This window comes from Homo sapiens, chromosome X, assembly GCF_000001405.40.
Source record: "Homo sapiens chromosome X, GRCh38.p14 Primary Assembly".
Classification (NCBI taxonomy): domain Eukaryota; kingdom Metazoa; phylum Chordata; class Mammalia; order Primates; family Hominidae; genus Homo; species Homo sapiens.
Genome location: NC_000023.11, coordinates 14,384,351 through 14,399,150, shown reverse-complemented (window position 1 = coordinate 14,399,150; position 14,800 = coordinate 14,384,351).

Sequence of the window (14,800 nt, the reverse complement as noted above, 5' to 3'; positions counted from 1 at the left end):
GTCATAAAAACATATTAGACACAATTACAGATTCTGGCCTTCTAGTCAATGAACACCTGATTCTTGACATAGTTTTAAGGATAGCAGTGTGTGGTTATGAACAATGGTTATAAAATCTAAATTGCATTATTGATTCATAGTCCTGTGATTCCTTGTTTACTCTGTGCCTGATGACAAGACGGCCTGCTCTTTTGCAACACCGTGAAGCATGTCCTAACACTACTTTAAGTCCTGCTGGAGGTCACAGATCCAGAAGAAATAGAAAATTATTCTTGCTCAACTTTTAAAGATTCCTTTGTCTCACCCAAGCATTCTCACTGATTGAATGAGTAATTCTCATTACTATGCCTGCACTGAGGTCCTGTAAACCATGCCTGTCTTTCTCCCTTCTGACCTGTTTGGCTGAATTGAAAGAGGAATGTGGGGTTTTACTTCACTTTTATCTTCACTTCTCAAGGAACAGAATTCTCCCAACACATCATTTATGTTTTAAAAGAGACTTTTCCTTAAGGAGCTGTTCTGTTCTTAAAACTTATAGCAGCAATCTGATATTAAACAAAGCTCTGGTCAGTGAACTCCAATCACAAATGGAATGCATAACTTGTTCATGCATTTGTTCACAGGGATTTATTAAGCCCCTAGTATATACCAAGCACTAGATTAATTGCTAGGGCAAAAATAGTGAACAAGAGAGACAAAGTCTCACTTTTTATGAAGCTCAGCACCAAGACAGAAAGACAGACTTGAATGATAATTACAAGATTGAGGATGTTATAAAGGTGTACACAGGGTATACACAGGTGACCAGTGAAGGCCTTTGGAAGAAGTAACATTTAAGCAGAAATCAGAAGGTTTAACAAGAACTGGAAATGTTAAACGTTTCCAAATGTTGAAAGGAGGGGTTATACAGAAAGAACAGCTTATATGAATGCTGTGAGATGAGAGCAAACATGACTTATTTGCAGAAAAACAGTTCCTTATAGCCAGTAACTGCGAAGGGATAAGGCTTTAGATATAGGCATGATTCGTATCACAGGAAAAGCTTATAGTCATGCCAAAGATTTGGTCTTTTTCCTACAGGCCATGACATATTTTTAAGTTGGGGAGTGACATTTGCATTTAAAAACTATCTTTCTGGCTGTAATTGTAAAAATAGATTTGAGATTTGCAAGACTGGCTGTAAGGAATGCAATTATGAAGTTGTTACAAACCTCTGGTTCCAGCAACATGACAGACTAAGATAGCAGAAAAAAAAACTTCCTAAAAATATTGAGACATTCTGTAAAAAAAAAAAAAATAGTGTAAGGAAGTATGTGTGGTCATAAGAAAGACAGATGACAGAAATGAAGATAGAGCTACAACCCCACAGAAGCCAGAAAGTGTGGCCGGACACGGTGGCTCATGCCTGTAATTCCAGTACTTTGGGAGGCTGAGGTGGGCAGATCACCTGAGGTCGTGAATTCGAGACCAGCCTGACCGATATGGAGAAACCCCATCTCTACCAAAAATACAAAATTAGCTGGGCGTGGTGGTGGCACATGCCTGTAATCCCAGCTACTTGGGAGACTGAAGCAGGAGAATCGCTTGAACCCAGGAGGCAGAGGTTGCAGTGAGCCGAGATAGCACCATTGCACTCCAGCCTGGGCAACAAAAGCGAAACTCTGTCTCAAAAAAAAAAAAAAAATATATATATATATATGTATATATAATGTGTGTGTGTATATATATATACACGTATATTATATATATTTTTTAAGATGTGTTTGTATAAGGAGGAAATTGAACATAGAAGAACTGAGATACAAAAATTAATAGTGATGCCAGAAAGTATGAATATAAAAATATAAACATATTGGCTTTAACACAATAGTAATTGCAATTGAAAAGTTTGGGAAATATCAAAAGCAAGTTGTACTAAATTCTGAAAATGATATGCAAAATGGAAATTAAAAGACTGAATATAGTTTAAGTAGTCTTAGCCCTTGTATTATTTAGAAGATAAAGAACCAAAACAATTTAATAAAAACAGAAAAAGAAAAATATGCACAAAAAAAGCAAAACATAAAGCACAAAATAAGATAGTTTGAATAAACCTAAATAAATCAGCAATCATCAAAAATGTAAAAAGACGAAACTGACTAGTTAAAGGCAGAGAATGTCAATTTGAATTTGTTTTTACCATTCATTAGTAGATTGATAGTTTATTTGCATAAAAATGAACCTTTTCAAATTTGACTGACGTGTTAAGACTAGCCCAATTTGATTTTTAAAGCTTTTTTTATTTATTTATTTTTTTATATACATATATATTTTTATTATACTTTAAGTTCTAGGGTACATGTGCACAACATGCAGCTTTGTTACATATGTATACATGTGCCATGTTGGTGTGCTGCACCCATTAACTTGTCATTTACATTAGGTATATCTCCTAATGCTATCCCTCCCCCTCACCCCACCCCACAACAGGCCCTGGTGTGTGATGTTCCCCTTCCTGTGTCCAAGTGTTCTCATTGTTCAATCCCCACCTATGAGTGAGAACATGTGGTGTTTGGTTTTTTGTCCTTGCGATAGTTTGCTGAGAATGATGGTTTCCAGCTTCATCCATGTCCCTACAAAGGACATGAACTCATCCTTTTTTATGGCTGCATAGTATTCCATGGTGTATATGTGCCACATTGTCTTAATCCAGTCTATCATTGTTGGACATCTGGGTTGGTTGCAAGTCTTTGCTATTGTGAATAGTGCTGCAATAAACATACCTGTGCATGTGTCTGTATAGCAGCATGATTTATAATCCTTTGGTTATATACCCAGTAATGGGATGGCTGGGTCAAATGGTATTTCTACTTCTAGATCCCTGAGGAATCGCCACACTGTCTTCCACAATGGTTGAACTAGTTTACAGCCCCACCAACAGTGTAAAAGTGTTCCTGTTTCTCCACATCCTCTCCAGCACCTATTGTTTCCTTACTTTTTAATGATCGCCATTCTAACTGGTGTGAGATGGTATCTCATTGTGGTTTTGATTTGCATTTCTCTGATGGCCAGTGATGATGAGCATTTTTTCATGTGTCTGGTGGCTGCATAAATGTCTTCTTTTGAGAAGTGTCTGTTCATATCCTTCGCCCACTTGTTGATGGGGTTGTTTTTATCTTGTAAATTTGTTTGAGTTCTTTGTAGATTCTGGATATTAACCCTTTGTCAGATGAGTAGATTGCAAAAATTTTCTCCCATTCTGTAGGTTGCCTGTTCGCTCTGATGGTAGTTTCTTTTGCTGTGCAGAAGCTCTTTAGTTTAATTAGATCCCATTTGTCAATTTTGGCTTTTGTTGCCATTGCTTTTGGTGTTTTAGTCATGAAGTCCTTGCCCGTGCCTATGTCCTCAATGGTATTGCCTAGGTTTAGGCTAACCATTTGTTGAACAGGGAATCCTTTCCCCATTTCTTGTTTTTGTCAGGTTTGTCAACAGATAGTTATAGATGTGCGGCATTATTTCTGAGGGCTCTGTTCTGTCCTATTGGTCTATATCTCTGTTTTGGTACCAGTACCATGCTGTTTTGGTTACTGTAGCCTTGTAGTATAGTTTGAAGTCAGGTAGCGTGATGCCTCCAGCTTTGTTCTTTTGGCTTAGGATTGTCTTGGCAATGCAGTCTCTTTTTTGGTTCCATATGAACTTTAAAGTAGTTTTTTCCAATTCCGTGAAGAAAGTCATTGGTGGCTTGATGGGGATAGCATTGAATCTATAAATTACCTTGGGCAGTATGGCCATTTTCACGATATTGATTCTTCCTATCCATGAGCATGGAATGTTCTTCCATTTGTTTGTATCCTCTTTTATTTCATTGAGCAGTGGTTTGTAGTTCTCCTTGAAGAGGTCCTTCACATCCCTTGTAAGTTGGATTCCTAGGTATTTTATTCTCTTTGAAGCAATTGTGAATGGGAGCTCACCCATGATTTGGCTCTCTGTTTGTCTGTTATTGGTGTATAGGAATGCTTGTGATTTTTGCACATTGATTTTTCATCCTGAGACTTTGCTGAGGTTGCTTATCAGCTTAAGGAGATTTTGGGCTGAGACCATGGGGTTTTCTAGATATACAATCATATCATCTGCAAACAGGGACAATTTGACTTCCTCTTTTCCTAATTGAATACCCTTTATTTATTTCTCCTGCCTGATTGCCCTGGCCAGAACTTCCAACACTATGTTGAATAGGAGTGGTGAGAGAGGGCATCCCTGTCTTGTGCCAGTTTTCAAAGGGAATGCTTCCAGTTTTTGCCCATTCAGTATGATATTGGCTGTGGCTTTGTCATAGTTAGCTCTTATTATTTTGAGATACATCCCATCAATACCGAATTTATTGAGAGTTTTTAGCATGAAGGGCTGTTGAATTTTGTCAAAGGCCTTTTCTGCATCTATTGAGATAATCATGTGGTTTTTGTCATTGGTTCTGTTTATATGCTGGATTACATTTATTGATTTGCGTATATTGAACCAGCCTTGCATTCCAGGGATGAAGCCCACTTGATCGTGGTGGATAAGCTTTTTGATGTGCTGCTGGATTCAGTTTGCCAGTATTTTATTGAGGAGTTTTGCATCGCTGTTCATCAGGGATATTGGTCTAAAATTCTCTTTTTTTGTTGTGTCTCTGCCAGGCTTTGGTATCAGGATGATGCTGGCCTCATAAAATGAGTGAGGGAGGATTCCCTCTTTTTCTGTTGATGGGAATAGTTTCAGAAGGAATGGTACCAGCTCCTCCTTGTACCTCTGGTAGAATTCAGCTCTGAATCCATCTGGTCCTGGACTTTTTTTGGTTGGTAAGCTATTAATTATTGCCTCAATTTCAGAGCCTGTTATTGGTCTATTCAGAGATTTAACTTCTTCCTGGTTTAGTCTTGGGAGGGTGACTGTGTCGAGGAATTTATCCATTTCTTCTAGATTTTCTAGTTTATTTGCATAGAGGTGTTTATAGTATTCTCTGATGGTAGCTTGTATTTCTGTGGGATCGGTGGTGATATCCCCTTTATCATTTTTTATTGCGTCTATTTGATTCTTCCCTCTTTTCTTCTTTATTAGTCTTGCTAGCGGTCTATCAATTTTGTTTATCTTTTCAAAAAACCAGCTCCTGGATTCATTGATTTTTTGAAGGGTTTTTTGTGACTCTATCTCCTTCAGTTCTGCTCTGATCTTAGTTATTTCTTGCCTTCTGCTAGCTTTTGAATGTGTTTGCTCTTGCTTCTCTAGTTCTTTTGATTGTGATGTTAGGTTGTCAATTTTAGATCTTCCCTACTTTCTCTTGTGGGCATTTAGTGCTAAAATTTCCCTCTATACACTGCTTTAAATGTGTCCCAGAGATTCTGGTATGTTGTGTCTTTGTTCTCGTTGGTTTCAAAGAACATCTTTATTTCTGCCTTCATTTTGTTATGTACCCAGTAGTCATTCAGCAGCAAATTGTTTAGTTTCCATGTAGTTGAGTGGTTTTAAGTGAGTTTCTTAATCCTGAGTTCTAGTTTCATTGCACCATGATCTGACAGACAGTTTGTTATAATTGCTGTTCTTTTACATTTGCTGAGGAGTGCTTTACTTCCAACTATGTGGTCAATTTTGGAATAAGTGTGGTGTGGCGCTGAGAAGAATGTATATTCTGTTGATTTGGGGTGGAGAGTTCTGTATACGTCTATTAGGTCCGCTTGGTGCAGAGCTGAGTTCAGTTCCTGGATATCCTTGGTAACTTTCTGTCTCATTGATCTGCCTAATGTTGACAGTGGGGTGTTAAAGTCTCCCATTATTATTGTGTGGGAGTCTAAGTCTCTTTGTAGGTCTCTAAGAACTTGCTTTATGAATCTGGGTGCTCCTATGTCAGGTGCATATATATTTAGGATAGTTAGATCTTCTTGTTGAATTGATCCCTTTACCATTATGTAATGGCCTTCTTTGTCTCTTTTGATCTTTGTTGGTTTAAAGTCTGTTTTGTCAGAGACTAGGATTGCAACTCCTGCCTTTTTCTGTTTTCCATTTGCTTGGTAGATCTTCCTCCATCCCTTTATTTTGAGCCTATGTGTGTCTCTGCACATGAGATGGGTTTCCTGAATACAGCACACTGATGGGTCTTGACTCTTTATCCAATTTGCCAGTCTGTGTCTTTTAATTGGAGCATTTAGCCCATTTACACTTAAGGTTAATATTGTTATGTGTGAATTTGATCCTGTCATGATGATGTTAGCTGGTTATTTTGCTCATTAGTTGATGCAGTTTCTTCCTAGCATCGAAGGTCTTTACAATTTGGCATGTTTTTACAGTGGCTGGTACAAGTCATTCCTTTCCATGTTTAGTGCTTCCTTCAGGAGCTCTTTTAGGGCAGGCCTGGTGGTGACAAAATCTCTCAGCATTTGCTTGTCTGTAAAGTATTTTATTTCTCCTTCACTTATGAAGCTTAGTTTGGCTGGATATGAAATTCTGGGTTGAAAATTCTTTCCTTTAAGAATGTTGAATATTGGACCCCACTGTCTTCTGGCTTGTAGAGTTTCTGCTGAGAGATCAGCTGTTAGTCTGGTGGGCTTCCCTTTGTGGGTAACTCGACCTTTCTCTCCGGCTGCCCTTAACATTTTTTCCTTCATTTCAACTTTGGTGAATCTGACAATTATGTCTCTTGGAGTTGCTCTTCTCGAGGAGTATCTTTGTGGCGTTCTCTGTATTTCCTGAATTTGAATGTTGGCCTGCCTTGCTAGGTTGGGGAAGTTCTCCTGGATAATATCCTGCAGAGTGTTTTCCAACTTGGTTCCATTCTCCCCATCACTTTCAGGTACACCAATCAGACACGTAGATTTGGTCTTTTCACATAGTCCCATATTTCTTGGAGGCTTTGTTCATTTCTTTTTATTCTTTTTTCTCTAAACTTCTCTTCTAGCTTCATTTCATTCATTTGATCTTCAATCACTGATACCCTTTCTTCCAGTTGATCGAATCAGCTACTGAAGCTTGTGCATTCATCACGTAGTTCTCGTGCCATGGTTTTCAGCTCCATCAGGTCCTTTAAGGACTTCTCTGCATTGGTTATTCTAGTTAGCCATTAGTCTAATCTTTTTTCAAGGTTTTTAACTTCTTTGGGATGCGTTCGAACTTCCTCCTTTAGCTCGGAGAAGTTTGATCGTCTGAAGCCTTCTTCTCTCAGCTCGTCAAAGTCATTCTCCATCCAGCTTTGTTCTGTTGCTGGTGAGGAGCTGCATTCCTCGGTTGGAAATGCAGAAAGCACCCGTCTTCTGCATCGTCACGCTGGGAGCTATAGACTGGAGCTGTTCCTATTCGGCCATCTTGGAACCAAACCTCAATATAAATTTTAAAGTCTACTTTATATGAAAAAATAGTGGAGGAATAAAAATATAGACGGCAAATACTAACCAAACAAGGCAAATTATAGCTATATTCAATATTAATCAAAATGGAGCTCCAAGAAAATAAATATTTTTAGGTTTGGGAAATATTTTATAGTATTAAAAAGAAACTTCAGTAGAATGAAACACCTGTATAGATGTTACAATGTGTCTTCAAACTACTATGAATTTTTAATTTCACAATCAATGGAATATTTTAATATATTTTCTCAATAACTGACAGATAAAGCAGAATGAAAAAATGTAGAATGTAGAAGTTTTGAGCAACACTGTTTATTGGATAGCCCTAAAGAACCCTTTACTTGGCATCTAGGGAACATGTATGTTTTTCTAATATACAGGGAATATTTACAAAAATTCAACAAAATGTGCCACAAAACAGGAGTCAACAAACTCAACAGAAGAGAAATGCATATATTGGTGAGCTCAGATATTATATTCTTACATAATATCTGAGAGGAAGCAAAGCAAAAACATGTGTCATCACAATACACGTAGTAACAATCTCACAGATGTTATGGGAGCACATGAGGGAGATATGAAGAAAAACTTTCTGAAGGAGTTGATGCATGTGTGAAATAGTAAACTGCAAATAGGTGTTAGCCAGGCAACATTCTTTTTTGCCTTTTAAAAAATTGCAATATAATTCACATGCCATGAAATTCACCAATATAAAGTGTACAAGTCAGTGGTTTTTAGTATATTCACAAGGTTATAAAACTATCATCATTATCTAAGTAAACATCATCTAACTCCAGAATATTTTCGTCATTCCAAAAAGAAATTACATACCCATTAGCAGTGACTCCTCAATACCCCCTCTCCCCAGTTCCTGGCAACCACAAAGCTATTTTCCATCTCTATGGATTTGTCTATTTTGGACATTTCATATAAGTGGAATTACACAACATGTGGCCTTTTGTGTCTGGCTTCTTTCACTCATTATAGTACTTCAAGACTCATCCATGTTGTAGCATGTATCAGTGTTTCACTCCGTCTTATTGCTAAGTGATACTTCATATAAGGGTATGCCACATTTTGTTTATCCATTCATCAGTTGATGAACATTTAAGTTGTTTCCATTGTTTGGGTATTATGAATAATGCTACCATAAACATTTGTGTACAGTTTTATGTGAACATATGTTTTCAATTTTTTGAGTATATATCTATGAGTTGAGTTGTTGGGTCATATGGTAACTGTGTTTAACATTTTGAAGAACTGCCAAACTGTTTTCTACAGCAGCTGTACCATTTTACATTTCCATAACCAGGTAAAACTGTATGTCAGTGTGTATGCCTGCAGAAGGAGGGAGAGAAATTTTCATATCAGGGAAGTGGTAGTGGCCAAAAGTAAAAGCAAAGACATTAGGGTCAGAACAGTATGAATAAAACCACAAAGATGAACAACTTTACTTTGTACTGAAGGGAATAGAAGCTCATATTGCCACATTACAAAGTTGCAAAGCAGGTAGTTAAAGGATATAGAGACTTGACAAGCAAGATTGTTCCAACCTGTTAACTATGTCACATTGGGCAATTCAGGTAATAGCTCTGACCTCTGGTTTCTTCATCTGAAAAGTAAGATTAACATTTCTTATTCTGCAAACCTCCTAGGATTGTGAGAATCAAATGGAAAAGGGGCAAGAAAAGCACTCATGAGATTGAGGGTATAGTAATAGCAGAAAGCTAGATACAACATAGATCTAAGGAGGTTGATGCCCAGTCACAGCCTCAATATAGGTCATATAGTTTTGATCTCCAAAAAAGCCATAAATTCATCCTGTTTTTCACTTCTCAAGGAGAATGGAGGGTGTATGGGGAAGTTATGGTCCATTTGTTCGTTCTGGAACCCAGGATATTTTTGTCTTGAGATTGCGTCATCTCCCACAAGCGTTCTTCAAGTTTGCTATGAGTGAACACACAAATAGTGGTACACATTAGTTTTGATCACATTCCTTTGGCCACAGCTTAGTTACATGGCCCTATTGAAAGGTAAGGGAGGTGGGAAAATAGAGTTTAGTTGTACACCCAGGAAGAAGAAAAGAAAGGCATATAACGGTGAGCTCTAGTGCTGTCTGCTCTAAGTATTTGATTGAGTGATAAAAATAATTCCTATAGAAGTCTTTAATCTTCCTTTTTTTGTTTTTCTTTTTTAGCTCCTCCATTTTCAACTTGATTCAACTCAATCCTGTTTGTTGAGAACTGCTTTGGTGAGTCAGCAAGGGAAAGAAGACAGAATGGGGATTTTGAATCAATTCAATACTTGAATAAAATTCTGATTCCCTTATTCCTATGGGAATTTTAGCAAAATATCCACCTTAGCCTCGGTTTCTTCATCAGTAAATCTTGGTGATAAGATCTACTTAAAAGATCTATATTGAGGATGAAATGAAATAACAGCCATTAAGCCCTCATAGGGCAGACTGGACAACCAATATAAGTTATTTCTTCATCTTCTTTCCTCACTGTCATCCCAGCCACTGTGTCTGAAACTCTGTGGGGAATTGAAGATGAACAAGATAAACCCGAGTATGAGGGATTCATAATCTAACAAGTGTGACAACAGAGGTGGGGACAGAGTTGGTTAGGTTAAGTGAATCATCTCTTATAAATGCATAAATGACATTGATGGTATTAATAGAATCATTGAGTGGTGGCCCTCCAAGAGAGTACAGTATTCAGTTTTCTCATCTTCAGATAGGGAAACAAAGTAGTAAAATGTCTTGCCTAAAACCAAGTATAACATTTTTTAGGGCTATTATAGGACAGACACACTTGGCATACATTAAGGTATGTGCCTGAATTATAATGCTTATAGCAGCAGTATGAGGAAGGTACTATTTTATCCCTATTTTGTAGGTAAGCACACTGAAGCTTAGAGAGATTAAGACCAAAAGATGGAGATCATCAATGGGCAACAGTGAAGGAGGAAGAAAAACACAAGATGAGGACCCAGGACAGAGGCTATAGTAGATGCTGAAGGGTAGTGACTTCCACTGAACAGGATATTTGAACTCACTAGATTAAAGCATCTGAAGGGCTTTAAAAAGTAGACCCTGATTTACGTGGTCCAGCACGGGGTGTAGATATCTGATTCTCAGGTAATGTAGGTGTGCATACCAATTTGTGAACCACTGCACTACTAGATATAGTTCTTTCTTGCTAGGAGCTTCCAATGTTGTAGGAAAGATGAGGCATGACAATAAAAAATGTCCAATAAATATGTGAGCTACCACATGATGTTGAGATCTCAGAGACTGCAAAGGAAGAAGCAGGCCCAGTGGCTTAAAGTGGTCTGTGATGGCTTCCTCTGCAAAGACGGATGACTTCACTAAGTAGAGAAATATTCCATACAGCAGGAATAAGATGGACAAAATTCTGGAGGTGAAAGAAAACAGTGATTTCAAATGAGATGAGTATTTCTTAGTTTTGATGAGTGTACCATGGTTATATGAGATGTTACCATTAGAGGAAGCTGAGTGAAGAGTAAACAGCAACCTTCTGTACTATCTTGCAACTCTTATACAAATCTAAAAAACATTTTAAATACTTGTATCTATGCATGAGTAAGAGACAGAGAGAGTCTGTCTCTGAGAGAGAGTTTATATTATATGTATCTGTGATGAAGGACACAGTTGTGAAGGAGGAAATGAGAGAATCATTGTAGTTCTCCCGTTACAATTGAGGGAATTGAAGCAGAAAGAACAGGGGTTTGTCCAGGGTCACACAGCCAGTTAGAAGCAAAGCTGTAATTAACCCACCCCCGTGCTCCTTATATAGAATAAAACAAAAGGTATAAGCTTGAGAAGTGGGGGAAATCTGTGAGTGGGGAATATTTAAGATCAAATACAGTGTTGGTAAATTCGTGCTTGTTATGGTTTCAGACTGTATAAGTTAAGCCATGGGAAGAAAACTTCTAAAAATCACTGATGCCAAATTTAACAAATTAAGAGTTAAAATATGCTCTTCTCCATAAATACCTACAGGATGATTTACTTCACCATATGTGAATAATGTTCTGGTTTTAATCAGCAACATATTGCTTACTGAATGCTAACCTGTGACTTGTCTACTACAATTAATTGGTAAACATGACTGTATTTTTAGAACATAATTGCAACATTTATTAATGAAGGCACGAAATGGCCTTTCACAGTTTTATGTCTGCCAATGGGGATTTCATAAAGGCATCAAATAAAATACTATTACAGAGTCCTGGGTTGTGCCCTCACATTGCATTATTTTGTTTTTATTTATTTTTTTTTCATTTTAAATTGTTATTTTCTTAGTTTCTAATAGGAAATGCTGATGGTTCTTCCAAAGTACAAGTAGTTTGTAGGTCAGGGTGGTTAGATTTGCTGAAGAATGAAATGTGAGATGTGAGACAAAGAAGAGTCAACAATAATACCAAGATTCTTGGTCTGAGAAACTGAAACAATTGAGTTGCTATTATCTGAGATGAGGTAAGAGAAGGTATCGGGAAAAGTATCTGGAATCCAGTTTTGTACAAGTAGAATTTGAGTTGTTAGTCACATACCAAGTAGACATTTTTGGAAGAGAAACCTAGGAAATACTCTTCTCGACATCAGCCTTGGCAAGGAATTTTTGGCTAAGTCCCCAAAAGCAATTGCAACAAAAATAAAAATAGACAAGTGGGACCTAATTAAACGAGAGAGCTTCTGCACAGCAAAAGAAACTATCAATAGAGTAAACAGACAACCTACAGAACAGGAGAAGATATTCGCAAACTATGCATCTGACAAAGGCCTAATATCCAGAATCTATAGGGAACTTAATAAGCAAAAAATAAATAACCCCATTGAAAAATGAGCCAATGACATGAACAGACACCTCTCACAAGAAGACATACACGTGGCCAACAAACATATGAAGATATGCTCAATATCAAGAATCATTAGATAAATGCAAATCAAAATCAAAATGAGATACCATCTCACACCAGTCAGTATGTCTATTATCAAAGTTAAAAACAACAGATGCTGGCAAGGCTGCAGAGAAAAGGGAATGCTTATACACTGATGGTGGAAATTTAAATTAGTTCAGCCACTGTGGAAAGGAGTCAAAAGATTTCTCAAAGAACTTAAAACAGAGCTACCATTTGACCTACGAATCCAATTACTGGATATATACCCAAAGGAAAGTAAATCATTCTACAAAAAAGATCCATGTACTTGTATGTTCACCATTGCACTATTCACAATAGCAAAGACATGGAATCAACCCAGATGCCAATCAATGGTAGATTGGATAAAGAAAATGTGGTAATATACACCATGGAATACTATGTAACCATAAAAAAGAATGAAATCATGTCCTTTGCAGCAACATGGTTGCAGTTGGAGGCCATAATCCTAAGCAAACTAACACAGGAACAGAAAACCAAATATCACATGTTTTGACTGATAAGTGAGAGCTAAACATTGAGCACACATGGACACAAACCTGACAACAACAGACACTGCAGACTACTAGAGGCTGGAGGGAGGGAAGGAGCTATGGGTTGAAAAACTACCTATCAGGTACTATGATCACTATCTGAGTAATGGGATCTGCACCCCAAACCTCAGCATCATGCAATATTCCTATGTAACAAACTTGTACATGTACCCCCTGTAACTGAAATAAAAGTTGAAATTAAAGAAAAAGAAAATGAAAGCAACAGTAATTTTAAAAATATGTATAATCTTAAAGACTGGCAGGATAGCCAGAAAACAATGGGGAAAGGTTTATTTTTTTTTCTTATATATTATCAAACTGGTAGAACATGAAGCATTTGGGGGATGGGGTATGACAGATTTGAATAAGCTGCTGAAGATGGGCTGAGTTTCACTAAGACACAGAGACCTAAAGAGAAAGACAAGGAAGCAAAGATAAAAGAGCACAAAAGACAAGCTTCAACCATTTTAAACACTGCTCTGAAACAAGAACATCTCCCTGTCTCATACCTCATCTCTGCAGACCATGGACTTCTGCCCCATCTGCTTTCTGGAATTCACAGTAATACCATTAGTTCATTTTCTGAGGATTTTTGGTCTCCTAAGAAACCAATAGTTACTTCTAATATTGTTTCTACGGATAATTCCAAACAGTGCCCAAGTCACTTGAATACACAGAGCTGTTTCACTTTTAAAAGCTCACTCGTCCCTAATTAAGCTGTTTAGTTGAATTTTCAAATTGGTTGGACTCCTTCAATATCTCTTGCAGCTTATTCCTTATATAGCTGTCACTCATTCTTAGAGGGCACATATTCACTGCAGACAGGAGGGTCATGGCTTTAGGGGAAAGACATTCCCTGCAACTCCTGACCTTCTGGGAATCGAATGCTCCCCATTGGTAGATTTTATGACAACTCAGTCCCACCTTTAGCCCTACTATATCCAAAACTCCTGTTTTCATTAATGAATTAATTAGAATTTTGTCTGGGAGAATGTTGTGACACCTCTTGTGATAATTGGAGACATCCTGGGGAGTTGCAGAACCAGAGTCAGGAATCTCTTGAGATATTTTCATCTGAAAACTGAGAAAATTGACATAAGAAAAATAAATGACATATGGTGTCTTAGGCAACTGGGGAAAAAACAGTATGTGTTGAAAAGCTAAGAGTGAAAGCACAAATAATTAATGATACAGAATTATCAGAACCCAGTTCTTTTGGTCATCTGAACAACTTAAGATGCAGGCTCAGGTCTCAGAGTTGTATATGGGCTGACCTTGTTCCAGAGAGAACGTACAGAGACTGGCTCTAGGAGGTATTAGGCAGTCAATTTGCCCTGAATATATAAGTGTTTCGGAGGCATAGTAGGGAAGGACCCTACTTTTCTGGCAGAGATGATGGAAAGATAGTTATTATTAACCTAGTGCTGCTTCACTTTTTCTCAAATGTAAATATGGATCTCCATTATTCATGGCAGTCCATTAGGGCTTATATTTCACTCCTCATGCCTCCACCATGGCACCAGCCAGAACCCCACACAGAATGAATAATTGTTAAACTGGAGCATGATTTGCAAAGCTGTACACTTTTTTTTATGGCTTCTGGCAAATGTCGCATAATTCTAACAATTTAGATTGTTTTGAGGGCTTTCTTTTGTTATGACCTCAACCTTGTAGTTGCCCACCAGATTTTCAGTCTAGGCCAAAAATCAAGTAATACAAGTCAGGCAATAAAGCTAACTTTGATGCTAAGGGAGAAAGGAAAGGGCACCATAACTCAAACCTATGGCTAGCCCCAATGGTCATTTGCTAGATATAAAATCCAGGAAAAACATAATCAGATGCTCAACTCACACCTGATGCTGGCCAGCCTCTCACGTCCTGCCCTATCCTCCTCTCTTACAAGGCTTGCTATTCCTGCATTTAGCCTGAGAGCACATTGGATAACAGAAT